At 37.0% G+C, this 26,510-nt stretch overlaps 1 protein-coding gene and 1 pseudogene across 6 annotated transcripts in view; one reads left to right on the top strand and one right to left on the bottom strand.

The window, feature by feature from the left end:
- CLINT1 (clathrin interactor 1) overlaps window positions 1-26,510 on the top strand; it is a 73,399-nt gene that overhangs the window by 23,763 nt on the left and 23,126 nt on the right. For all 6 annotated transcript variants that reach the window (NM_001195556.2, NM_014666.4, NM_001195555.2 and 3 more), the window contains exons 2-6: window positions 17,836-17,940; window positions 18,553-18,649; window positions 21,090-21,198; window positions 22,156-22,320; window positions 25,578-25,755. In NM_001195556.2, the coding sequence (NP_001182485.1) occupies window positions 17,849-17,940; window positions 18,553-18,649; window positions 21,090-21,198; window positions 22,156-22,320; window positions 25,578-25,755 (641 nt within the window). In that variant the 5' untranslated portion in view covers window positions 17,836-17,848. The remainder of the gene's footprint in view (window positions 1-17,835; window positions 17,941-18,552; window positions 18,650-21,089; window positions 21,199-22,155; window positions 22,321-25,577; window positions 25,756-26,510) is intronic.
- On the bottom strand, window positions 26,179-26,285 carry RNU6-260P (RNA, U6 small nuclear 260, pseudogene; annotated as a pseudogene).

Below are 26,510 nucleotides of genomic sequence, written 5' to 3'. Positions count from 1 at the left end.
TTTGTTTTTTATGTGTGTTTTTATTTAAAGACATCTTTTTTAATATATAAAAAAATTGCTGATTTATTAACATTGAACTCACTGCCAACAGCACTATAACTGATGTCTGAACAGGGCTTATCTCACACGCATTTTTTTCCTGTAAGGCATATCACAATCTTCCTGTGTTTAGGAGCACTACATAGCACTTGAACACTATGCTCAGGGCCATTTTAAACAGCGAAATTGCCAACGTGTAAAGCATAAAAGTGTGAAATACGTTGCACCAAATAGATTATAGAAAGGACCCTTGTTTATGGTTTGAGAACTGAAACAAGAAGGCAAAGTGTCAGCTTGTTTGACCTCGGATGGGAATGTGTGCTCTGGACAACTCACGTTTTTTGCTCCTCTGCTAATGTTCATGAACATGAAAGCACCGTGAATACAGATTTTGAGGTTACATTTTAGTGAGTAGGCAAATTTGCGTATATGGAGTCCATAAATAAAGAGGATCAACTCTATTTGCTTTTTTAAAACTGACAATATATTAAGGTAATTAAAATAAATTCATACATAGCCATTGTACAGGCAGAATATAATACATAAGAGTTTAAAAATGTAATGTTGGATTTGATCAAAGGAAGGGGGAAATTATGGGTTGGAAAGAACAGGAAGGCTTCATTTTTGCATCTTTGTTGAAAACTAGGTTTGAAAAGAGGTGGGGATTCTGGAAGCACATAGAGTCACTGAGATAAGAAAGTAAAGGGCATATTGTTAAGGCAGTAATGCTAATCAGCTAGTAAAGCAGTGTAATCATCCCATAAAGGAAACGAAACAGAGGGAATGAGAGAAAAGGCTAGATAGGTAAGTTGAGGCCTGATCATGCAGGTTCTGATTACCAGTTCAATTAGGACTTTTTTTTATAGTCCTAAAGAAGCTATTTAAGAATTTTTGTCCCTTTGTTCTGTTACTCAGAACAGAGTAACAGAACATCTGCTGTCACCAAGACTGATCCAGGAACTGGAGGTTTTTTTTTTTTTAATCGCTCTGTTGCCCAGGCTGGAGTGCGGTGGCGCAGTGGCGCAGTCTCGGCTTACTGCAACCTCTGCCTCCCGGTTCAAGCAATTCTCCTACCTCAGCCTCCTGCGTAGCTGGGGCTACAGGTGCACACTGCCATGCCTGGCTAACTTTTTTTGTATTTTAGTAGAGATGGGGTTTCACCATGTTGCCCAGGCTGGTCTCGAACTCCTGAACTGAGCTTAGGCAATCCGCTTGCCTAGGCAATCCGCTTGCCTTGGCCTCCCAAAGTGCTAGGATTACAGGTATGAGCCTCCGTGCCTGGCCAGAACTGGAGCTCTTTAAGAGAGCAAGATTATTTTGTGTCCCCAGGTGTATGGAATCCAGAGGGGGAGACGGGTAAATAAACAAACATGCCTGTTACAATACACTGTTTTTGTTTTTTGAGGCAGGGTCTCACTCTGTCACCCAGGCTGAAGTGCAGTGGCACGATCACGGCCCACTGCAGCCTTGACCTCCTTGTGTTCAAGTGATCCTCCCACCTCAGCCTCCTGAGTAGCTGGGACTGCAGGTGCACACCACCTTGCCTGGATAATTTTTGTATTTTTTTGTAAAGATGAGGATTCACCATGTTGCCCAGGCTGGTTCAGAACTCCTGAGGCTCAAGTGATCCACCTCAGCCTCCCAAAGTGCTGGGATTGCAGGTGTGAGCTGCCACACCGGTCTGATACACTGGTTTTAGTTGTAATTCTAGGTAGTAGAAAGCAAAGGGTGCTATGAAGAGCGTGTACACAGACTCCCAACTGTTTTGGGAGTTAAGGAAGGTTTCTTGGAGGAAGTGGCATTCAAGCTATAAGACCTGATGATCAGGTGGAGTTAGCTGGAGAGCAGGGACAGAGAGAATAGCCTGTGCAAAAGGCCTATTCTTCAGGAGAGAATGACACATGAATGGGACTGAAGAAGTAAACTGGTATCTCATATGAAGGACCTTTTATATCTTGTTAAGGATTTTGAACTTCCTCCTTTTTTTTTTTTTGAGACAGAGTTTCTCTCTGTCACCCAGGCTGAAGTGCATTGGCATGATCTCGGCTCATGGCAGCCTCCACCTACCAGGTTCAAGCTATTCTCCTGCCTCAGCTTCCCAGATAGCTGGGATTACAGTCATGTGCCACCACGCCGGGCTAATTTTTGTATTTTTAGTAGAGACAGGGTTTCACCGTGTTGGCCAGGCTGGTCTCGATTTCCTGACCTCAAGTGATCTGCCTGCCTTGGCCTGCCCCAGTGCCGGAATTACAGGAGTGAGCCACCGCGCCTGGCCTGGACTTCTGCTTAAAGGCAATAAGGAAGCCTTTACTAGATTTAAAATAGGAGCTCAGTTTCAATTAGTAAGGATTTGTATTTCATCAAGAGCTCTCTTTGGCCCTAGTCTGGTAGAAGATGAGTCGAAGTAGAGAGACTAGTTACAAAGCTGTTCCCAATAATCCAGGTGAAAAATAGTGGTGACCCTAGATTAAGGTAGTATTGGTGTGGGTAGGGAGAAGTGGACAGTCATATTTGAGAGGTACCTAGGGAATAGAATTGCAAAGACCTGGGAGTAGATTGGATATTCAGTGGGAGGAAGGGAGAGAAGTAATCTCTCAAGTGTTGCTCAAGCCATAACCTTGGATGGTACTGTCCACTGATACAGTAGGAGGAAAATGTTTGAGGGAAAGTAGTGATGAATTTGTGGTGCACTAACATGGCCAACACTAAATATTAGAAAGATTAATGTGGTCATGTAGAAGATGAATGAAAAGAAGATACCTCAGAAGTGGAGAGATAGTTAAATGGCTTTTGTAGGAATCTCAGCTAGAAGTGTCAGTATTCTTAAGTGCAGAACTAACAGGTGTGGGAAAGTAATGGGAAGTAGACACCAAACAAATAGTTCCCCAAAGATGGTATCAAATATCCCAGTGACAGCTTGCAGCCTGCTCAGCTTTATGATATGCCCCTGAGATCATTTTTCAGGACAAAAAGTAGTGAAACTACCTTTATTTACTTCTCAAATTTACCTTTATTTACTTCTCAAATATACATAGAAAGTAATATTGTAAAAAGCAGCTCTGGCTGGGCGCTGTGGCTCAAGCCTATAATCCCAGCACTTTGGGAGGCTGAGGGGGGCAGATGACTTGAGGTCAAGAGTTCAAGACCATCCTGGCCAACATGGCAAAACCGCATTTCTACTAAAAATACAAAAATTCGCGTGGCAGCACGTGCCTGTAACCCCAGCTACTCTGGAGGCTGAGGTACAAGAGTCGCTTGAATTTGGGAGGTGGAGACTGCAGCGAGCCGAGATCCTACCACTGCACTCCAGCTTGGGGGACAGTGCGAGACTCTGTCTTAAAAAACAGTGGCCTGGCGCACTGGCTCACGCTTGTAATCCCAGCACTTTGGGAGGCCGAGGTGGGCGGGGGTGGATCATGAGGTCAGGAGATCAAGACCATCCCGGCCAACGTGGTGCAACCCCGTCTCTACTACAAATACAAAAATTAGCTGGACATGGTGGTGTACGCCTGTAGTCCCAGCTACTCAGGAGAGTAAGATGGGAATCGCTTGAACCTGGGAGGTGGAGGTTGCAGTGAGCCAAGATTGTGCCACTGCACTCCAGCCTGGCGACAGAGCAAGACTGTCTTAAAAAAAAAAAAAAAAAAAAAGGATATTTTCACTCTTGGGACTTGATAAAGCTAGTTTATTTTTATTATCTCCTATATCCTATACATATTTAATTGGCCCCTATGAACAATGTTACCTCTTTATGAGGGGACCCAAAGAAGTAGCTGCTGGTGTGAGAGTGAGAGATCATCCATCTTTTTTATTGTGCTTTTTGTTGTTTCTTTGTCCTGCTATGTGTTATAAGTAAGGCCGGGCACGGTGGCTCATGCCTGTAATCCCAGCACTTAGGGAGGCCAAGGCCAGATCCCTGAGGTCAAGAGTTTGAGACCAGCCTAGCCAACATGGTGAAACCTTGTCTTTACTGAAAATACAAAAAAAATTAGCTGGGCAGGGTGGCATGCGCCTGTAGTCCCAGCTACTCGCAGAGGCTGAGGCAGGAGAATTGCTTGAACCTGGGAGGCGGAGGTTGCGGTGAGCCAAGATCCTGCCACTGCACTCCAGCCTGGGCAACAGAGGGAGACTCCATCTCAAAAAAAAAAAAAAAGTAAAACACGAAGAAAAAAGAAAGCTGTTTAACATAAGGTTATTAAATGAGGGTTATTAAGAAATTAAAACTAAAAGCTAAAAACAAGTGAGAATTTTGAAAGGATTACAATAAAGTTTAAACTTTTTTTTGTTTGTTTGTTTTTTTGAGACAGGGTCTTGTTCTGTCATCTAGTCTGGAGTGTAGTGGCACTATCATGTCTCACTGCAGCCTCAACCTCCCAGGCCCAAGCAGTCTTTCCACCTCAGCCCCACCCTCCACCCTCACCTCCAGTAGCTGGGACTACAGGTGTGTCCTACCACGCCTGGCTAATTTTTAGAAATCTTTTGTAGAGATGGAGGTCTCACTCTGTTGCCCAGGCTTAAATGTGTTTCTATATATATATATATATATAGAGAGAGAGAGAGAGAGAGAGAGAGAGAGAGAGAGAGAGGGAGAGAGAGGGAGGGGCAGGGAGAGTGGGAGGGGGAGTGTGTGTGTAGAGACAAGGTCTCTCTATATTGCCCAGGCTGGTCTTGAACACCTGGGCTCAAGCAGTCGCCCCACCTTGGCCTCCCAAAGTGCTGGGATTACAGCCGTGAACCATCTTGCCAGCCCTTAGGTATTTTGTTTAAACCCAACAAAAACCCATGTTTTTGAAGTACAGTATTTTTAAAAAGCAGTGTGAAGCATTTACTCTTACGAAAAGAATAAAGCAGATGATGTTGAAAATAAGCAAGGTAGGAAACTAAGATTAACAGTAAAAAACGAGTTTTAAAAAATGAGATTTAAGGCAAAATAAGAGGCCGAAAGCTACCTAACAAGAATATTAAAACTTAAAAATAAAAGACTAAAGGAAAACCTATTCATTAGGTAAAAAATAAGAAATAACAGATACCAAAAACAAGAATGGCAAGATGAAAGTATAAACTAAAAATATTTTTGGAAGTTTGAAGAAAAGGACGACTGGTTGCAGTGGATGATGCCTGTAATCCCAGCACTTTGGAAGGCAGAGGTGGGTGGATCACTTGAGCCCAGGAGTTCGAGACCAGCCTAGGCAACATGGCGAAACCCCATCTCTACAAAAAATATAAAAACTAACTGGCGTGGTGGCATGCATCTGTAGTCCCAGCTACTTGGAAGGCTGATGTGAGAGGATCGCTTGAGCCTGGGAGGTCAAGACTGTAGTCAGGCATCATCGCACCACTGCACTCCAGCCTGAGTGACAGAGCAAGACCCTGTCTCTAAAGAAAGAAGAAAAGGGCAATTTTTTAGAATAGCATATACCAAAATGAGTTTCTTGGGATACTAACAAGATGTTCCAGGAAAAGGATAAGTTGTCACAAAAGTTTTAGAAATGTTTAATATTGGCGGGGCACAGTGGCTCACGCCTGTAGTCCCAGCACTTTGGGAGGGCTGAGGTGGGCAGATCGCTTGAGTCCAGGAGTTTGAGACCAGCCTAGGCAACATGACGAAACCCTGTCTTTACTAAAAATACAAAAAAAAAAAAAAAAAAAAAAAATAGCTGGGTGTGGTGGCGTGCACCTATAGTCCCAGGTACCTGGGAGGCTGAGGTGGCAGAATCTCCTGAGCCCAGGGAGGTTGAGGCTGCAGTGAGCTGAAAAATCACACCACTGCACTCCAGCCTGGGCAATTGGAACGAGACTGTCTCAAAAAAAAGTGCATTATCTCTCTTGGAGACTCACAATGCACCATTAAAATAATAGTCTCTGAGAAGTGTTACATGAATAAAGTTGCCCTTGTTTAAACATTTTTCAGACCTTCCCTGGAACCCTTTTTTGACATAGCACCTATTATATCTTCCAGGCAAAGTATTTTTCACAAAACATCATTTAGACTACTGTTTTAAAAAAATTAAAAATGAAAATCTTGGAAGTTTTAAAGAAACATAATAAGAGAAATCAGCTGGAAATAGAAATAGTTTGAGTTGGGGCTGTCATTCCCAGTCTTTCCTGTTGAGGGCACAGTGTTCCACAGCTAGCCTAGGGGCAGAGAGCAACTTGACACCCTTACCTTCTGGCCCTTCCTCCACCCAAAGCTGTCTTTTTAGTGTTTTTTGTTGTTGTTGTTGTTGCTGTTGTTGTTGTTTGAGGCAGAGTCTCGCTTCCATGCCCAGGCTGGAGTGCAATGGTGTGATCTCCACTCACTGCAACCTCCGCTTCCCGGGTTCAACCAATTCTCTTGCCTCAGCCTCCTGAGTAGCTGGGACTACAAGAGCACACCACCATGCTCAGCTAATTTTTTTTTTTTTTTTTTTTTTTTTAAGTAGAGACAGAGTTTCACCATATTGGCCAGGCTGGTCTCGAACTCCTGATCTCAAGTGATCTGCCTGCCTCGGCCTCTCAAAGTGCTGGGATTACAGGTGTGAGCCACCGTGCCCGGCCCTTTTTAGTTTTTATCTATGCAGGTGGTGCACTGATAGAATACAGACTGCTGAGTCAGGGGAGTTAGGGGTGATCCCCAGCAAAATTAAATCAGCCCAGGGATACTTCTTTAGCAATTTGAGAGAAGTTTTACTACAAGTGCTATTTTAGTTTTCTTTTAAAAAGTCAGTTTTAAAGTTGTATAAATTAAAAATATTTTTAAATTTTTAAACAGATGCTCCCCCTTCAACCCACTCTAGTTATTACCACTCTAACACAGCTGTTTTCATATGGTTTTTTTGGTTCTTCCGGGCTTTGCTCACATGTACATGTGTTTTTATATAGTTGTTAGCGTTCATATACTTTTGTGTTATGAGGCTTCTTCTTCTATGGCCATGGAAGGAAAGGAATTTTCTAGTGGTGACTGCCTCTGCCTGCTCTGTTGCTTACATTGTTCCAAGTACCATTGCTGCCACATTTTGGAAGCTATTTTTCATCCTACTTCCCTTAACGTCACAATTTTTCACTTTTGCTAGCCACAAAACAGCCCCTCCAGCAGTCTTACTGCTGCTAGAGTGCCTCTCTGGAAAATAAAAACGCCTTAGCATTGTGGGACTAGCCTGTCTTGAGACAGTTTTTCTGTAAGCCTGTCATCTGCCCAGGTCATAATAGCAGCAGCACCTGTGCTAGAGAGGGAGTAGAAGGGCTTCCATATACAACATAATAAATAATAACAGAAAACTGAATGCTTTACACATGTCATTTCATTTAATCTCCATAATGATAATAATACATAGGTACCTTTCAGATGAGGAAGCAGAGTCACACAGTGGTTGATGTGTCCAGGGATCAGGTAGTATATGCCAGAGACAAAATTCAGGCCCTAATAATCTCTAAAAAATTATTGATCAACTAATATACAATATTACTTTGCATTTGCCACAAAATAGCCATAAAAGATGAAGCAGTTGATGAAAAATACATAAGTGTGCAATATTTTCCTTTAGCATGGCCTTGTCTTTTGGAACAGTTTCTGGGGTCTAGGTTCATTTTAATATCTGAAAATGGGCAAAATCTGAAAATTTGGTATTGGTAACCACTGAAGTTGTAAGGAAGGGGAAATAGTTTCATAGTTTCTTCCTCCCACAGGTCATAATTTAGTTATGGACATCAGGATGTTTTTCTTGGCTTATCGCATTCGTGTAGTTTTCTTTGCACATCTGTTACATAAATTACTAAACTATTTCCTTGAAAAGTTGCCAGTTTAAGTCATGTTTAATAGCGATCAAGAGTTGTTGCTTTTGGGGAAGAAGAATTAAATGACAGACTTTAAGGGGCAGAAATCCCACCACTATCCTGGTTTAAATATTTTTTTTGTTTTGGATCAGTCCCTATATTTTTTGAGGCATTAAAATTATTATATGGTTTTGGGTGTTTCCCAAAAGACTTTATGTTGGACTATAAACATTTAATGACCTTTTATATAAAATGGGTTATTTTAGTCCTTGCTTCTATAAGTTCCTATCTTTTCAATTATCCTCTTATATAGACATTTTAGTCCGACAGATTGTCGTTTGAAACTAAACTTGGAGTGTTGACTTCTTTAGTGATTATTCGTATTAGGTAATCTTTTCTGACCTTGAATTTTTCATAAAATAATTATTTTATGTGGCTTGCTTTTGGAAAAAAAATTTTAAGATTTATTCTGCTAGCTATATTTTAGGACAGACATATTGGTTGTTAGAAATCTCAGAAATTTTAGATGTGAGTCTGGTTAATTTTGCCCCATCCAAACTATTAATTGAACCAATACTGGAAATTTTCTTGGAATGTTAGGTAAACTCTTCTGTAAGCAAGTTACCATGTATTTCCTAAATGTACAGTTTGCAGTTGTCAGGATTTGGAAACTGGTTTTTAAGCTTGAAATTTTTAGATAAAGACTATTTATAATACTGACAATCTGTACTGGATATTCTTAGAGATTAGAAGGGAAAGTATGGTATAAATAGGTTAATGTCAGCTACTCATCAAATTGCTCAGATTAAATTTCTTGCGTTACATTTCCTGCTATGAAACCATTCTTTGTGAAATACAATAAGTTTTTGATAGATTTTTCTGTACAAAGTTTTGACTTTTTAAAACATCTGGAAGGTTTGACACAGGAAATTTATAATTTTGTTATGATCTCACATGCATGTATGGAAACATGTCACTTGGCTAAACCAGTCCCTCACATCCACCTCACAGCTTAGCTTTGTTCTCCAGCTTTGAGGCTGTGGTACCAAATTATTTCTGTATTAAAAAAAAAAAAATGACTGAAAGCCAGCCTCTTGTGCTGGTAGTTAATGTGATAGAGTCTAAGAAAATGATAATTCATGGACAGAAAATAAATACTTTACATATATTTAGAGAGGAACACATCAACTTTGGCAATAGCTTGGATTGATGACACAGTCAAATCTATGTAGAATCAGTAAATTTATGAAGTGTTCTGCTATGCAAAAGTTTACCTGAGAAATAAGACTTTGGTGACGATATGTATTCATTATCCGGTGGTGAGGATAAGCACAGGATCTTTAATTTATGGATAAATGTGGGAGATTGTTAACAGTCTGTACAGACATTTCCATTTTCATAATTTTGAAGATACACACAAGGGTCTTTAATCTTCCGAGAATGTTAGGAGTTCTTACAGCTTTTTGAATTTTCCTACTTGCAGAGTATTGTTTGGTGTTTCACTTGCTCCCCCTTCCTCCTCTCCCTTCTTCCTCAAACTGAAAAACACTTACATATAAAACAGTTCCATAATATTTATCTATTTTATCTATAAGTAGTACAAATACAGTGTAAAAATTTGAATTAAGGTTACAAGAATATTCAGCCATATCAATCAGCAATGTTCAGTAGTATTAAAACACCAAGAGTGATTACAATTCTGTGGTTCATTTCTCTGCCTTCATGATAATACTGGATTCAACGATTATTGAAATTGAAGGCCAGCATTAGTCAGAATGAAACAAAGAATTTGGAAGTAGAATTGATGTGAGAGTAGCATTGGTTTAAAAAAAGAATACAGTCCTTAATTTTCTGACAACTTAATTATAATTTTAAAAATAGTTATACCAGTTTCTATGGTCTTACATCATGTCAGGAGGAAAAAATTGGAAGTGGTGTTTTTGAACATTAAGACAGCATTTTCTGTAATTTTAATCTCATACGAACAGGCAGCTAGAGTTTGGACTTAGGCAGTTTGCCATGTTTTAAAGGTATTTTAGGTTCTCAGTTATAGTAACTAACTTGATCTTTGAGTATCCAGAATTATTTTAAATAGATTTAAAAAGTATTATGGGGCTCCCCTCCTCCTTCAAAGCCTGGTAGTAAGCTGCTTTTTACTCATTTGATCGTAATTTTTTTTTGACTGAGAAAGCTAAAAGATAGGGTATAATATTTTTGTGCAAATTCCTGATGGTTATTTTTAAAAGCAAAGTTTTGTGTTTCAGCATTTAGAAATTTAGAGTTCCCTCTTGAAAAGTAAAGAGGAAAACAGAAGATGCATAATCCAGCATAGTCATTTGTGTACATAGTTGAAGCCATAAATAATATGCATCCCATATACATATGATATCATTGGATTGAATAGGTTATATGTTTTAAGTATTAATAACTAGGTTACTCTTTTCCGAAATCTTGTTATTGCAGAATGGGTAAGAGAGCTTCAGATTTTAGATGTCTCTGATTTCAGTTTTTCCCTAATCAAACTGGTATTTTCTTTACTTTTAAAAGTACATGTTTAAGAGGAGAGACATCAGTTTCCTCCCTTTCAGTTAGATGATTTGTATTTAATATTTACTAAAACCAAAGAAAATGTAATTTCCATGACTGAGAATATATCTTTTTAAATATTTATTTGGCATATAGCTCTTCTGTAGCATAATTTGTGATGCTACATTTGATGTCATCTTAGACCAGATTATATTCTATGATTTTAGTACAGTGTGACATAATAGAAAATGGGCTTTGGAATTAAAAGACCTAATAGTTTTTAAATATGCCATTTACTAGTTGTGGGATTTGGAGTGAGTTTCTTTAGAGGAAGTGTCCAGGATTGTGATATTTGTTTCTTCTGTACTTTTCCAAACTTTATTTTATTGGAATTCTTGCAATATGGAGGGAGTACTATGGTTTATTATTGCTTTAACAGCATGGCTATTTTATAACATGTTTACTATAGCAAAATTATCTCTTCTACTGCGCTATGTTGTCGCTTGTGTTAAGACTTTTTCATTGCATTGTATTTCATTTTCATTTGCAGATCAGTGAGAGACTTTTTTTTCTGATGGGTGGTGAATATCCCACCATGTGGACGAATGAGTTTTTCCACCTCCCCACATCATTTCTATAGAGCCTCAGATATTTCGTTAACAATGAAAGTAATCTACCTGTTGAATTTAGGAATAGTAGGCTTCTTGGCCGTTGACAGTACATTTGATACTGTTCACAGGACTGTAATGAAATATAACTTGATATTAAAATACGAGTATTGAACCTATAAAATGTTCAACTTGCAAACAAGGGTAATGTGGTGGAGGCTATCCCCTGATAAAAAATGAATATCACAAGGTTCATTATCTAGCTTCTAGAGTTATTCTTAAAACTATTTATCTAATGTTATGGATGGAAACATAAAAAGAAAGACCAAATGTTTCTGGTTTAAGACTTTTGTTACCTGAGGAAACTGTCTTCTGCAGCAGTGGTCTCTAACCTTTTTGGCACCAGGGATCAGTTTTGTGGAAGACAATTTTTGCACAGACCAGGGGTTGGGGAGGATAGTTTCCGGATGAAACTGTTCCATCTCAGACCATCAGGCATTAGATTCTCATAAGGAGTACACAGCCTAGGTCCCTCACATGCACAGTTCACAACAGGGTTCACGCTCCTAAGGCCACCACTGATCTGACAGGAGGCAGAGCTCAGGCAGTGACGCTCGCTCGCCACTGCTCATGTCCTGCCATGCAGCCCCATTCCCAACAGGCCGGTCCGCAACTCCGGGGGTTGGGTACCCCTATTCTACAATGTTAATTTTATGGGTGTTTTATGTTAAAAAAATTATTAAGAAGATTTATACTTAATAAGAGCATTTAATTTATAAAAGTATCTTTTCTGAAACCTTTGTGGCATTGAGGATAAAAGGTGACTTTTAAATACAGATTTTGATGTCAAGAATTATTCATCCCTAACAGTTTTAAAAAATCATATTAATTCCAAAATTGGGTACTTAAATTGTTCTCTGTGGTTTTGCATACATAGCACTTGGTGTACATATTTTAGTCTGTATGTATATATTTTAGTTACTGTTTGCTGCACTTATTAACCTGATAAAACAAGATATTGGAAGTACAGATAATATTCATGTGGTCTACCATGATGTTTACTTGCCTATAAATAGTTAAAATGTAGCTAATGATGATACAGTACTTATATTTTTAATGGCCTTTAGTAGTTTAACCTTGGTTACAATATAATACTTTGAAAAAATTTGGAAAATACAGGAGAGTATTAATATAAAGAAAAACATTATTTAAAACTGTTGCTTGGAACTAAGTTATGTTTATTTCTGTCTCCAGATGTTTCTGTCTTTTAAATTATCTTAGTATGGGTGTGTGTATGCATGCGTACGTCAGAACACATTTAGAGGTCTCAAATAAAAGATTGCCTGATCTCAGGATGAGTGAAATCTTGACAATAAGCTTAAAACAAAGAGAAACCATATAAAAAATATAGATTCATTTGACTTCAGTTTTTTTTTAAAGGAATAAAATTTAAAAGGCAAACTGGGAAAAATACTTCTCAATCTGTTTCACTTTACTCCTTATTCCTTTGTTAGCAGTTAGTACCACATTATACCTATACTTTACCTTTTCTCTTGGTGTATAGTTTTGTTTTAGCAAAGCATATTCTTGAACTTTTAAGAGGAAAAAATACCAACAAGGACTGCTCAAGTTTTTTCTTGTTAATTATTTTACTGATGATTCTTAATGTAGATAAGAAGTATTGACTGCCTGTAAGTAAAAGCCTCATTTTAGCTTTTAATCAATTCTACCTCTAAAAACTGGACTGAAACTTACCAAGTAAAATAATTTGATATTATCTGAATGTCAAGTAGTCAAATAAGCAGAAAATGGAGAATAAAGAGGAGGGCTACGATGAACACTAATAATTTACAAACTGAATAGTTGACCCTTGACTAACTGAATACTGGCTGTGTTTACATAGCTCTAGAAGCATGTGTTAGTCCATTTTCATGCTGCTGATAAAGGCATACCCAAGACTGGGAAGAAAAAGAGGTTTAATTGGACACAGTTCCACATGGCTGGGGAGGCCCCAGAATCATGGCGGGAGGTGAAAGGCACTTTTTACATGGCAGCAGCAAGGGAAAATGAGGAAGAGGCAAAAGCAGAAACCCCTGATAAGACCATGAGATCTTGGGAGGGATAGCATTACATATGCCTCATGTAAATGACGAGTTAACGGTTGCAGCATACAAACATGGCACATGTATACACCTGCACGTTGTGCACATGTACCCTAGAACTTAAAGTATAAAAAAAAAAAAAAGACCATCAAATCTTGTGAGACTTACTCACTACCACTAGAACAGTATGAGGGAAACCGCCCTCATGATTCAAATTATCTCCCAACAGGTCCCTCCCACAACACGTGGGAATTATGAGAGTACAATTCAAGATGAGATTTGGGTGGGGACACAGCCAAACCATATCAAAGCATGTGTGCAAAACTTGAGGATGGTAACTTCTCGCAGTTGGCACTAAAGATCTAGTGAGTCAGTGTTGCTGAGTTGTGCAGAGTGAAGTTGCTGGAGTGTTCTGAGAAGCAAATGTGAAAATGAGTAAAAGCACTTTGGAAACAACAAACAGTTTCATAAACAATAATGATTGTGTCTATGGATTTTATTCTTGTATTCTTCATTCTTTGGTGATTCCTTCCATCTTTCATTCCCTCTCTTAACTTTCTTTTTGGCCTAATATTAGAGTCCGTTAAGATTTGGTATTGTTAGCCAGTTATACTGCTGAACTACCCAGTAGTTGTAACTGTTACATTTAAACAGTGTGATCCTAGTAATTACCTATCTTTATCAGGACAGAGAAACCTACTCTTCAAGTCACTCATTTTCAAGACTCTTGTTTTAAGCAAAGAGAAAGTTAATATGTTGAGTAAGCCTAGATAGAACACATGTGAGAAGGGCTCATTTTGTACTTTCTGGTGACTATTAGATTGTTCTGAAAATTACAGATACTATTTAAACTAGTGAAGAAATGTAAAAATTACAGCAACATTTTTTTTCCTGGTTTATGTTCTCTTGTGAAACAGCAGCATTTCTTAAAGTTATTTTTCTTCTTTTACTTTCCCTCCATTATTACATCTCATGTCTGTTTATGTTTGCAGAAATTAAATACAGATAAAAATCTGGAAATAAAAGGTAGTTATTGATGGTGACAGCAGAAATGTTAAAAATCATTAGATATTTTGTGGGTCAAGTTTTCTTTTGGTATTACTGTCAGACTGGTTTAAAATAATATACAGAAAATTTTTTTGGTGTTATCAAAGTATTCTTGGTTACCTTTAAGTGTTATAATGATAATTACATGAAAGGAAATGTAAGTAGAAAAGCCTGTATCCAAAGACTTTGAGCCTTCAACAGAAGGTCATAATAATGGTTGCCGGTACTTTAAAAAAAACAACAACTAAGTGTAAAGAGATAATTTTTTAAAATTTCAAGTTAGGAATCTCAATTTAGGATTGGTGAAAGTCCGTAAGTCACTTGTTTGACTGTAGTGTTAGTTTAAATGGTATGAAATTTATTGGGGAGGGGCGGTGTCTTTTTCTGTAATTTTGTTTGCAGATCAAATTCTAGACCTTTGTCTGGATTGTTGTGTGTGTGTTTAAGAAACCGTTGAGAGTGCCCCCTCTAGCGTCTGTGATATATTCTTAAAACATTTGTGTCAGAAGTTTTCAGAATTAAACTAGCCATTTTTTTCCTTTCAAATCTGGACATAATTTTTATTTTTATTTTTAACACGGAGGGATTGTTTTCTTTTTTAAAAAAGGTCACTGGAATTATGGGTAGGGCATAGATTGAGGGCAGTAGAAAACATGAGAAAGGAAGGATTAAAATGCCATTTCTACCTTTTTAGAAATAGTTATTTTTAAATGACCTGGAATAAGGCCAAACCATACAGTGTTGTTTTTAGTTTACATTTGTTTCTGAATTAGTTGAAGCTTAAAATACTTTGTCTTGGAATTCTTTATGCCATCAAATCTCATCTTGAGGGGGTTCTTTGCAGTTTCTGAAAGCAACAGCTTCATTGGAAAATAGCTTTTTTTGGGGGAGGGGAGTGGGAGACAGGGTCTTGTTCTCTGTAGCCTCAACCTCCTGGGCTTATGCAGTCCTCCCACCTCAGCGTCCTGAGAAGCTGGGACCACAGGTACACGCTACCACGCCCAGCAAATTTTTGTATTTTTTGTAGTGATGGAGTTTTGCCATGTTGGCCAGGCTGGTATCGAACTTCTAGGCTCAAGCAATCCACCTGCCTCATCCTCCCAAAGTGCTGGGGATTACAGATAGGAGCCACTGCACCTGGCCTGGAAAATAACTTCTAATAGATCTGGTTTCTTTGTGTAAGCGTTCTGTTATTTTTTTGTTTTATGTTTGCCATATCCTCCTGTGGATATACTTAATAACTATATTGTAAGTATGTTCTGATGGCTCCCATTGTTTTTCAACCAAAGAAATGAGGAGATTCTTAGATTATTGGCTCTCTGCCACCTCTCCCTCTAAACACAGCACTCACACAGGCCTTCAGCTAAGAATCTTGTGAAGGGTTACGGAAACAGAACCTTTCTTATTTGACCCATGGGCCTTTGTCGCTTGAACAAGGAAAGCAGTGTTCTGAAATCTACAGCATTTATGAAGGCTCTGGTAAAAATATTTCATGTACATGGACTGGAGATTAACTTCTTTCATCTTGTTCTCCAACAAATTAAACAATGCAAAGAGATTTCAAGTGCATTCTTGGTAATGAAATGCTTGGGTGAATTATAATCCTAATTGCTATTGTTCATTTTCACAGCTGCATTTTGACACTTTTAACTGCCTAAGCCACGCATTCTTCAGCCACCAGGATAAACAAAAGCATTCTGAAATTCATCATTTTGTGGCATCTTAAATTGTGAATCTGTTATTGGCTGCCTTAGTTTTATTTTGGTTCCATGGTTGATAAAATTAGGAGGAAAATTGTTCTTCTACATTTATACATAAAACTGTTGCAATAGAAGCATTACTGGATTTTAACGAAAATGTATTCCTTAGTGGTCTTAACATTTTTAAGGGGGGGTGGGCAGTGGAGATTGTGGATTTATTTTAGTCCTGGGGAAGGAATTTATATTTATTTTGTCACATTAATTGATATCTTAGGAGGCAGCTTTCTCCAAGATTTGAAAGAAAATAATAGGATTTTGCTTTTCTTCCATAGTAGAACAGTGTTCTGAATTTAAATCTGAAAGCCAGATTGATTCAGTTTTTTGGCAAGTCACACTTAAATGCATAATTGTTCCTTTAAAATTTGACCCAAACCTGTTTGTTGGTTTGTTCTTTAAACATGAAGAAATTGAAGTGTTTGTAATAAATTTGAAATTTATATTTAAGAGATTTGAGTGCCAATTTCAACCAAACCTTCCTTATTTTAAAAATAGAAGTTTTTGATGACTGAAAAACCATATAGCAAAAGTGGGGTATATGCATGTAATAGTTAACCAAATTCTGATTTTTCACTATTTCTAAGACTTAATGCTAAGTGGAAGAATTGAATTACCATATTCACAGACACCTGTTATAACAATTATTTGGTAATAATTGGAGCTTTCGATGTCAAATGAATACTACTATAGGATGTCACATTTTTGCAGTCTTTATTCTCAAAATGTCTTTGAATTCTTAAATTCATATAAGCATGAGAAATTCCATTTTAACCAAATATTTTGCCATCTCATGTCTTAATCTGATTTTTTCCGAAGTGAATTCTTTCATATAAAAATATTACATAATGTTTTGAAATACTCCTAATAGATGGTTATTTTATATATATTTCCTTTTGTTTTTTGGAGACAGGGTCTTGCTGTATTGCCCAGGCTGGGGTACAGTTGGGCGGTCATGGCTCCCTGAAGCCTTGACCTACTGGAATCAAACAATCTTCCCACCTCAGCCTCCCTAGTAGCTGGGACTACAGGTGCATGCCAACATGTCTGGCTAATTTTTAATTTTTTTTTTTTTTTTTTTTTTTTTAGAGACCAGGTCTCACTGTGTTGCCCAGGCTGGTGTTGGTTATTATATTTGATAGTAATAATAGCTAACATATATTGAGTACTTTCTATATGTCAGACACTGTGCTAAATAAACACCATTTGCTGTGCTAGCCTTTGAGGTAGTATTCTTATTTATTGGTTGAGGAAACTGAGATTAAGATAATTAAAATAATTTTGTCAAAGGTCACATAGTAAGTGATTGGAATCAGATCTTTCTGACTCCTGAGGCCCACGTTCTTGATCATTGCTGAAGACCTAAGGGAAAGTTAAGTGTCCATCGTACAATCTCCTGATGGAATATTATGCAGCCAGTAAAAGTGAGGGTTACAGTGAATATATGACATAGAAGTGCATATGATAGAGTAAATGAAAAAAGACTCAAGGATCACAGTTCAGTGTTTATAGTGGTTCTAAACATCTGTAGATATCTTTGATTTATTCTTTTAAAAATGTGATATAGATACTGTTCAGCTGTTACATAATTTTGCCTAATTTATAGAATTTCTATAAGCAGGAAACATAAGCCTGCATTGCATGTAAACCAGATCTGGTCAAGAAACTGACAACTTAGTTTTATAATAGACTCCAGCATGTTCAGTTTTTGTTTTTGTTTTTTTTAATTTGACCTTCAGCCATTTTTTACTGGACTTAATGCCAGCTCTAATGTAATCTCTCATCTGTATTCTTGAAGGCTAATGGTATAGTAAAATCTGCTTAAAGATAACTTAAGTGTGTTACATAGTGTCCTTGGGGTAGCTTGTGCACAAAAGATGTTTTCTCTCCCATCCTGTAGAGGTAGCTCATTAGGACACCCAGTAGTGTCATTATTAAGTTTTCATGTGTTTCTCAGTTTTGATGCTAATCTTTGTGCATGTGTGCGTGCATTTTTTTCCTCTACAGCACCAATGTTGTTATGAATTATTCAGAGATCGAGTCTAAGGTTCGAGAGGCAACGAACGATGATCCTTGGGGACCTTCTGGGCAACTCATGGGAGAGATTGCCAAGTAAGTGATAATTTGACTCAGCAGTGCAGAAAAAAATCAAAGCATCTTAACACAGAAATATGAAATTTGCTTTCAGATTTAAACTATTTGGCTGCCAAAATATAAATTTTGCATAATCATTCAGATAGTAATGTAGAGAGTTTCAGATACTAATGTGGAAAGTTTTATGCAATCCATTCCCCTTAAAAATTTGGCTCAAAAAAGAAACTCACAGTGTATCTTTTTTAATGAAGTTTTGAGATACACTGTAGCTCACCATGTAAAATTTTGACAAATGCATATAAAATAACTTGAAGTGAAAGTTACAAAAAAATTTTTCTGTGAACATCTGGGCCATTGTACCAGTGAATGAAGAGCTTGCAAAGTATATTAATTAATTTAATTAATTATTAATTGCAAAGTATTGATTAATTAGTGGGGCTTACATATGTGCCAGGTAGTGTATAAAACATAGGGAAAACATTTTCAAGGAAGTACATATCTTCTAAATTTTTTGAATTAAGTTTATTAATTTTTAAAAACTCTTCAGGGAAACACCAAATTAGAACAAGTCTGCCATCTACTGTCAAAATTAATATATTGCAGACTCTTAAAGAATGATTCTTTTTTCAGGGCTACATTTATGTATGAACAATTTCCAGAACTTATGAACATGCTTTGGTCACGAATGTTAAAAGACAACAAAAAGAATTGGAGAAGAGTTTATAAGGTATGGACACAAGTCTGCTTTAATTACTTGACATGTTGAAAACAAATGCTGGAAATTGAAGGTGTATATACATAGGTGATTTTGAAGTATATTAAATCCTAGAATAGAATAATCGAAAGCACATGAAAGAAGTAGATTTGTTATTTGTGTTCTATTTTCTAGTCATCATGAACAATTGTTCTGAATGAGAAATTCTTAATAATACTTCTAAATGTTGATTATTTCTTAAAATTTTTCCTACTAAAATGTTTGTGCATATCAAAAATAATGAATCTATAGTAGAGTAGTGTGCATGTTTAGTGTATGAGCAGTTAAGATGAATACCACAGTCTGATATGGTTTGTCATCGACATAGAAATTTACCTAATTTATGATAGTATTCTCACAGTATTTTGTATCCAAAATGTTCAAAATATAATTCTAATTTTAAACTTATGAATACGAACTTTTTATCAGATTCCTTTTGTTCTGATCTCATATAATGCAGAATTCTATAATAATATAGTCATCTATGCTTCTATAACCTACCATATTTTCTTGCTTCTTCAGAATGTTTTTCTTTGCTATCCAAAATGACATAGTTTGGCTTTTAGGATTGAAAATCTATGTGTTAGTTTCATTTTTTTTGTTGTTATTTCTTTCTGAAAACATTCAGTGTCATTCCCTCAGGTTGTATGGTAGGTGTGATGAAATAATTGAAATTTCTGTAAATTAAATTTGCTTTTAGTTTTTTGGTTTTTTAAAAATTCTTGGATAAACTCCTTTTTAAAAGTCGTATATACCACATAAGGACATTTTAGTCAATGATGGTCTGCTTATATGTCAGTGGTCCCATTGGATTATAATACTCTATTTGTTCTGTACCTTTTCTATGTTTAGATACAAAAATACTCAGCATTGTGTTACAGCTGCCTATAGTAGTCATTACAGTAACAATGCTGCACAGGTTTGTAGCCAAGGAGCAATAGGTTGTCTTATAGATTGTCAGTGTGTAGCAGGCCATACCATCTAGGTTTGTGTAAGTACACTCTATGATATTAATACAATGACGAAATTGCCTAATGGCACATTACGCAGAACATATCCCCATCATTAAGTGACACATGGCTGTAAATTACTGGTAGAAGGAGGTTTTGTGTCCCTCAGTTTTACCAACCTAACTAAATTTTTTTTGTTTTTGCCACCCCCTCCTTTCCGCCTAACTAGATTTTCATATACCTGATCAAGTGAGGTTTGTTCCAAGCATTGTTAAGTTCAAAATGTACAATTTATTATATAGTATATTCACAAAGTTTTGTAGGAGTAACTACTGTCTAATTCCAGAACATTTTTATCACCCTGTAAAGAAACCCTACACCCATTAGCAGTCATTCCAAATTTACATTTTAACAAAATTTAGTTTGGGGGTGGGGGTTGGTTGTTGTTTGTTTGTTTTTAAGACAGTCTGGCTTTGTCACCCAAGCCAGAATGCAGTGGCATGCCCTTGGCTCACTGCAGTCTTGACCTCCTGGGCTCAAGAGATCCTCCTGCCTCAACCTCCTAAGTAGCTAGGACTACAGGTGTGCGCCACAATACCCAGCTATTTGTGTGTGTGTGTGTGTGTGTGTGTGTGTATGTGTGAAGATGTCTATTTTGCAAAATTTTCTACCTTCAGGTTGTTTAAATTATTATTTTTTGGTAACAATCTTTTTTTTTTTTTTTTTGAGACAGAGTTTCTCTGTCGCCGAGGCTGGAGTGCAGTGGTGCGGGCTCAGCTCACTGCAACCTCCACCTTCTGGGTTCGAGTGATTCTTGTGCTTCAGCCACCTCAGTAGCTGAGATTACAGGCGTGGGCCACCATGCCCAGCTAATTTTTGTATTTTTAGTAGAGACGAGGTTTCACCATGTTGCCCAACCTGGTCTTAAATTCCTGACCTCAAGTGATCCGCCCACCTCGGCCTCCCAGGAAGTGCTGGGGTTACAGGCATGAGCCGCTGAGCCTGGCCACAACCTTTTAAAACAAAAGCCACATAATTAACCTCAAAATTAAATTTTATCTGGGGAAAATACTATAGGATTGTTTAATTACCAAATAATTTCTGGCAATTCACAGTTCCATAATGCTCAGATAAAAAGTAAAAACTGAGTCAGCTTTCTAAAACCTTATTGTCTATTTATATCAAGCATTCTGATATTTTGAACATCAGTGTTATTCTTTTAAGTCTTTGACACATAGTATCCAGTAGATGATTTATAATTATTTATCATGCTTAATATAAGAGGAACTTCAAATTGATTATGTAAGTTCTAGATTATGTGTTTAAAGTCTAATGTAAAGAAACCTCACCACCAGCATGAAGATTCTTTATTTGCTAATGTTAGAATTATTTTTTTTAACCATTTACCAAAGCTCTACTAGAATATATTTCATTAAATCATTTATTGCTTTGTATTTTTGCAGTCGTTGCTGCTCCTAGCTTACCTCATAAGGAATGGATCAGAGCGTGTTGTTACAAGTGCCAGAGAACACATTTATGATTTACGATCCCTGGAAAATTACCACTTTGTAGGTAAGCAATAGAAAAACCTTATAAGCAAATTAAAACAGTAGTTGGAGTTGTCAGTCACCTGAACCAGCTTAGAAGCTTCTCTGCTCTAATTAGAATGTGACTGTTGCTGGTTGTGTGACGAGTGCAGAATCCAAGACGTGGGGCCCTAGAGTATTAATTAGTGAAGACAAGAACTTGCAGAAAAGACTGGCTAATAACAACAGAACCAACACAACATGAGTGTTCGGGTTTATATTAAAATATGCACTGGAGACTGGTCCCCTGTGGTGTCCATAAAGGAATAGCTTTAATCATATGGGAAGAAAAGGTTAGAGCTCCAAAACACACACATCTGTTTGAAGCTGGGGTTTTTTTCCCTCCCACCAAATAATATTTACTGTGCAAAGGCAGCAAGGCCACAGTGTGTTTTGAATGTGAAAGAGGCTAGAAAATGAAGCACATTTCATTTTGTAGCGTACCCCACTTGTAAGCACTTTAAAAATTCAGTTTTTGAGCTATGCTAAAACCTCATAATTAGTGTTCCAGACGTGTACTGGGGAAACCAAGACATTTGTGTGCTTTTCAGTTATTAACATGCTAAAGTGGTTCTTCTTTTGATTTGTTTTCTTAAAATATGATAGAAAAACACAATAGCACTTATGGATATGTCTATTTTGTGTGGTCATCATCAGTAATCCTTTTTAGGTCAATCTTTAATTGACCTTGCATAGTACCATTATCTGTGGTCCTTTTTAGTTCATCTTTACATGCTCTTATAAGCCAAAATTCCATTTTAGAACTTAGAATTTGCTGAAGAGGAAATGACAAAGTTAAATAGCACAACTTGCCCCTTTCTATTGTTTTTTAAATATTGAAGTTTCTTATGTTGAAGTTTTTGTGTCTTTTTTTTAATCTTAAAGAGCTTGATACATATTAAGTGAATTCTTAGGTTTTGCTTATCTCTTACCATCCTCATAGATGAGCATGGTAAGGATCAAGGTATAAATATTCGACAGAAGGTGAAGGAATTGGTTGAATTTGCCCAGGATGACGACAGGCTTCGTGAAGAGCGAAAGAAAGCAAAGAAGAACAAAGACAAGTATGTTGGGGTTTCCTCAGACAGTGTTGGAGGATTCAGATACAGTGAGTATCAAAGACAAGCTGACACCTAAGCATCAGCTTAGCTTCTTGAGTATATTTTAAGAATCAGTGAAATACCAAAGACCAAAATGCTAATTTTCTTTTCTAGGAATACATAGAATACTAAAATACACGCAGTACTAATCTTGACTTCTACTATCACATGAATCTTCCTATTTTTAACTTGTGGGTTCGGCAATAGGATTTTAACCATTAATGGCTAATTAAATGACTGCATATTTTGAGGTGTCATACAGAGATTAAAACAGATATATGCCCTTCCCTCTTAGGATTGCCATTTTAAAAAGAAGGGGGAAGAAAGTTTCTATAACTCAGAGTTTAGAGTATAAAAATAAAAAGTTTGATCAGGAGATCCATCTTTCTAATTTGAAACCAATTTAGCTGTATTTTTGGCCCAAACCAGATAAGCTTCCTGACAGTCATTCCAGCCTCAGTCTCTCTTTCTTTATTTAAGCATTGCATACTTTGACATATAAAAGATGACTGACGATACTCGCAGTTTTTCATCTAGGCCTATTGTTTTGTTTATTCTTCCCAGTACACTTAAGAGCAGCTAGAACATTCATCTTTCATGTTTATTTTTAATATAATAATATAGTTTCTCTAAAATAGGGCATAGGTGCTTGAAGCAGATACACAAAATAGGAACTGTCTTTCACGGCATGTCCCTTTGGACTTGTTCTGTCTTCTGTGAGCTCTGACAATCTCTTGCTCATTTTGTGTATGTGCAGACTGGCCAGTGCTGTGTATCTTAGCAGCTGTTCACTGAGGCTCTCCAGCTCCCCCCACCCATATATGTTTATATTTGGATTATATTGAGCTCTCATATCTCCTTCAATGGAACCATGTAAAAATCTTAACATATAAAATATCCTTACTCATTTATTCCTCTGCTTTCCCACTCTCAAAGAAAAAACACTGCGTTTAGTTAGCTGTTTAAGGATGTTTCTAACAGCAGAAAAATTCCCTTTTTTATATTGAAGCATCAAATACAAGTTAGTTTTTTCTTTTTCTTTTTTTTAAATAGGGCTAACTCATAGGCAGTGCAACCAGAGTCGGCCACAAGTTAGTTTTTGAATTGGGCAAAAATATTTCTCCTAAAGCATATAAATAATGTTTTGAAGTTTCTATTTGGGGAAGTCCAAAGTTTTTGGATTATTTACCCAAGTAGTAACTTTATTCTTCAGGTTTTTCAAAGTAGTTGTAGCAACTTAATGTGTTTTTAATAGAAATTGCTATTTGAAACTTATTTCCACACTATTCTTGCTTGTATCTTTCTTTTTGCCAGCATGATATATAATTATATCAGCTAAACTTAGAAAATTGAATACGTTTTCAAACTCAGTCACAATGCACTAACTGCAGCATCTGTATTAAAGATAGAGTTGGATATCCTGTGTGTTTGCATCACATCCTTTTGCTAAGTTATTGTTCATGGTTTATGTTATTCAGACTTAACTAATCACTCTTAGCAGTTTTGTGTTTTTTCTTTTTCTTTTCTTTTTTTTTTTTTTTGAGGATTCTTGCTCTGTCATCCAGGCTGGAGTGCAGTGTTACCATCTCAGCTCACTGCAACCTCCGCCTCCCGGGTTCAAGTGATTCTCCTGCCTCATCCTCCCAAGAAGCTGGGACCACAGGCGTGAGCCACCATGCCTCGCCAATTTTTGTATTTTTAGGGTTTCGCCATGTTGGCCAGGCTGGTCTTGAACTCCTGACCTCAAGTGATCCAGCCACCTTGGCCTCCCAAAGTGCTGGGATTACAGGCATGAGCCACCGCACCCGGCCAGTTTTGTGTTTTTTCATTCTGACATTAGATAATGTCTTGCCAATATCCAGTATCTTTAGCAGTAATTCAGTATGATGTTCACCATGCCATGCTAATCAGTTTGGTTTTCATCCACTTCCATTTTTCGTGTAAATTTGTTTCTTTCCGAAGTCTGGTTCATCACACTGTTGTTGAAATGTACATACACATTGTTGGAAAATCACTTTTTTTAAAAAAACCATCCTGGTTTAAATTTTGTCTAGAAAACTTCATTTTGTCATGTTTTCTTTAAGTTGATGGTCATTTCCAGATTCAGTAAATATGTTAAAATCCTTAAACATGTAACAGAAAATTTTAGCCTTGCAATTTTAGGAGGCAATTCAGCAAAATCGTTTTGTTCAATCTCCAAAGGCTATGTATCCTTTTAGATCCTGTAAACAAAAGTTCAAAACAAAAGCTCCATTAGCCACTTTTTAGTTATTTTGTTGTTTCTCATTGTCCTTTTCATTTTCTTCCAACCTGCCTTAATTTTTAATGTTTTCTTTTTTAAAAATACCTCACGTGCTCTCTGTACCTTCTACTGTTGCTTCTTAAGTTGGATTTGGACATGGAAATGGAAGGGTTTCATTTTGTGTCTGTAATTCCTATGTCTCCTTTGGGTCCCTAGGGGCAAGGACTAAAACAAATCTTGACATTTTGGGTTTTTTGTTTACTGCCACGATCTATTCTCTGCATTCCCAAATTCACACAGAGGCTCTAGGTTTCGCCAGTCTCAGCATATGTTTGGAATGGGTGTTTGAATTGGTTGACACTGTTCTGAACTACTGTTTGAGCATACTTCCTGATTCTAGTATGTGTAGTTTTTGGTAGTTAGAGTAATCCTTTCTTTGTACAGTAATTACGGAATGCTTTCCCATCCCCTGAAAATTCATTGAATTATTTTTTTAGTTTGATACTGAGGCGTGACAGTTATTGAGACTTTTTAGCTTATTGGGACATGTAGCATTCAGATTGGAGTTCCTTCAGTTGTATTTTTTAAGATACTGTTGCTATCCAATGCTTTTCTGAAAATTGGGAAACCATTAAGGGACAGGAATAAAATATAACATATTAAGTGTCTTTTGTGAAAACAGAAAGATTTTCATTTCTCTTTTGCTTATATAGCTTGTGTTGGTTTTGTGTTTTCCACTACTCCTTTCAGTAGCCTTTAAGAATTTCCTGATATGCTGTGCTGTGCATTAAGGTTGTGTAAGTATTCATAAACAAAAGCTTTTGAATCTGCATTCCTGCCACTTAATGACTGGCATTACATGCTATGCCTTGCTGTAATTGTGTTGATTCAGCACTGTGGGAGCTTTCTGTTTTCCTTTGAAAATGATTTTATTATGAGGAAAAGCCTGAGAAATAAGGACTTGTAGATACCTTTTGAATTTAATGTCGTTAGAATTGCTTCTTTTTTTAATGCTCTATCTAGGTGAAAGATATGATCCTGAGCCCAAATCAAAATGGGATGAGGAGTGGGATAAAAACAAGAGTGCTTTTCCATTCAGTGATAAATTAGGTGAGCTGAGTGATAAAATTGGAAGCACAATTGATGACACCATCAGCAAGTTCCGGAGGAAAGATAGAGAAGACTCTCCAGAAAGATGCAGGTATTTTACCACTTTGTCTCCCGGGTCTCTTAGAAAGAGCCCTAAATTTATGCCACTGGGTTTTTGGTTTTTTGTTGGTTTTGTTTGGGGTATTAACATTATCTGAAATTGGGCCTTTTTTTTTTTTTTTAATAGACTTCATTTGTTTTTAGAGCAATTTAAGCTCACAGAAAAATTGTGCATAAAGTACAGAGTTGTCATATACCCACTTCCCCTTCATAACAGGTTCTGTGAACATCTTGCATTACTATGGTGCATTTGTTAACAATTGAAAAGCCAGTATGGATACACTTATTAACTAAAGTCTGTAGTTTACGTTGGGGTTTCCTATATTGTACACTTCTATGGGTTTCGACAAATGCATAATATTCCTCATTACTGTATTGTATAGAATAGTTTCACTGCCATAAATATGCCCTGTGCAGAAATGTGGAACAAGTCTTAAATGTGCAAGTTATCCTTGCACAGGGGGCATGCTAATCTTCCCTGTATTGTTCTGGTTTTAGTACATATGCTGCTGAAGCAAGCACTGTGCAACTATTTTTAAGATACTAGGTTATACACTACTTGCAATTAGTATTGACATACTTTCCATGTTGCCTCTGTCTACTTATTTTTGAAGTTGATCCTGTGTATTTTTATTCAAGCTAGTAGTCTTTCCTTGGATTTTTTTCCCCAGTAAAAACTTGTATAGATTATTTTGCATTTGGACCTTAGATGATCCAGGGACCTAAGATACTGAGGGATAATGAAGT

The sequence above is a fragment of the Homo sapiens genome, chromosome 5 (genome assembly GCF_000001405.40).
Source record: "Homo sapiens chromosome 5, GRCh38.p14 Primary Assembly".
Classification (NCBI taxonomy): Eukaryota; Metazoa; Chordata; class Mammalia; order Primates; family Hominidae; genus Homo; species Homo sapiens.
This window is presented reverse-complemented; position numbering and strand designations above follow the sequence as displayed.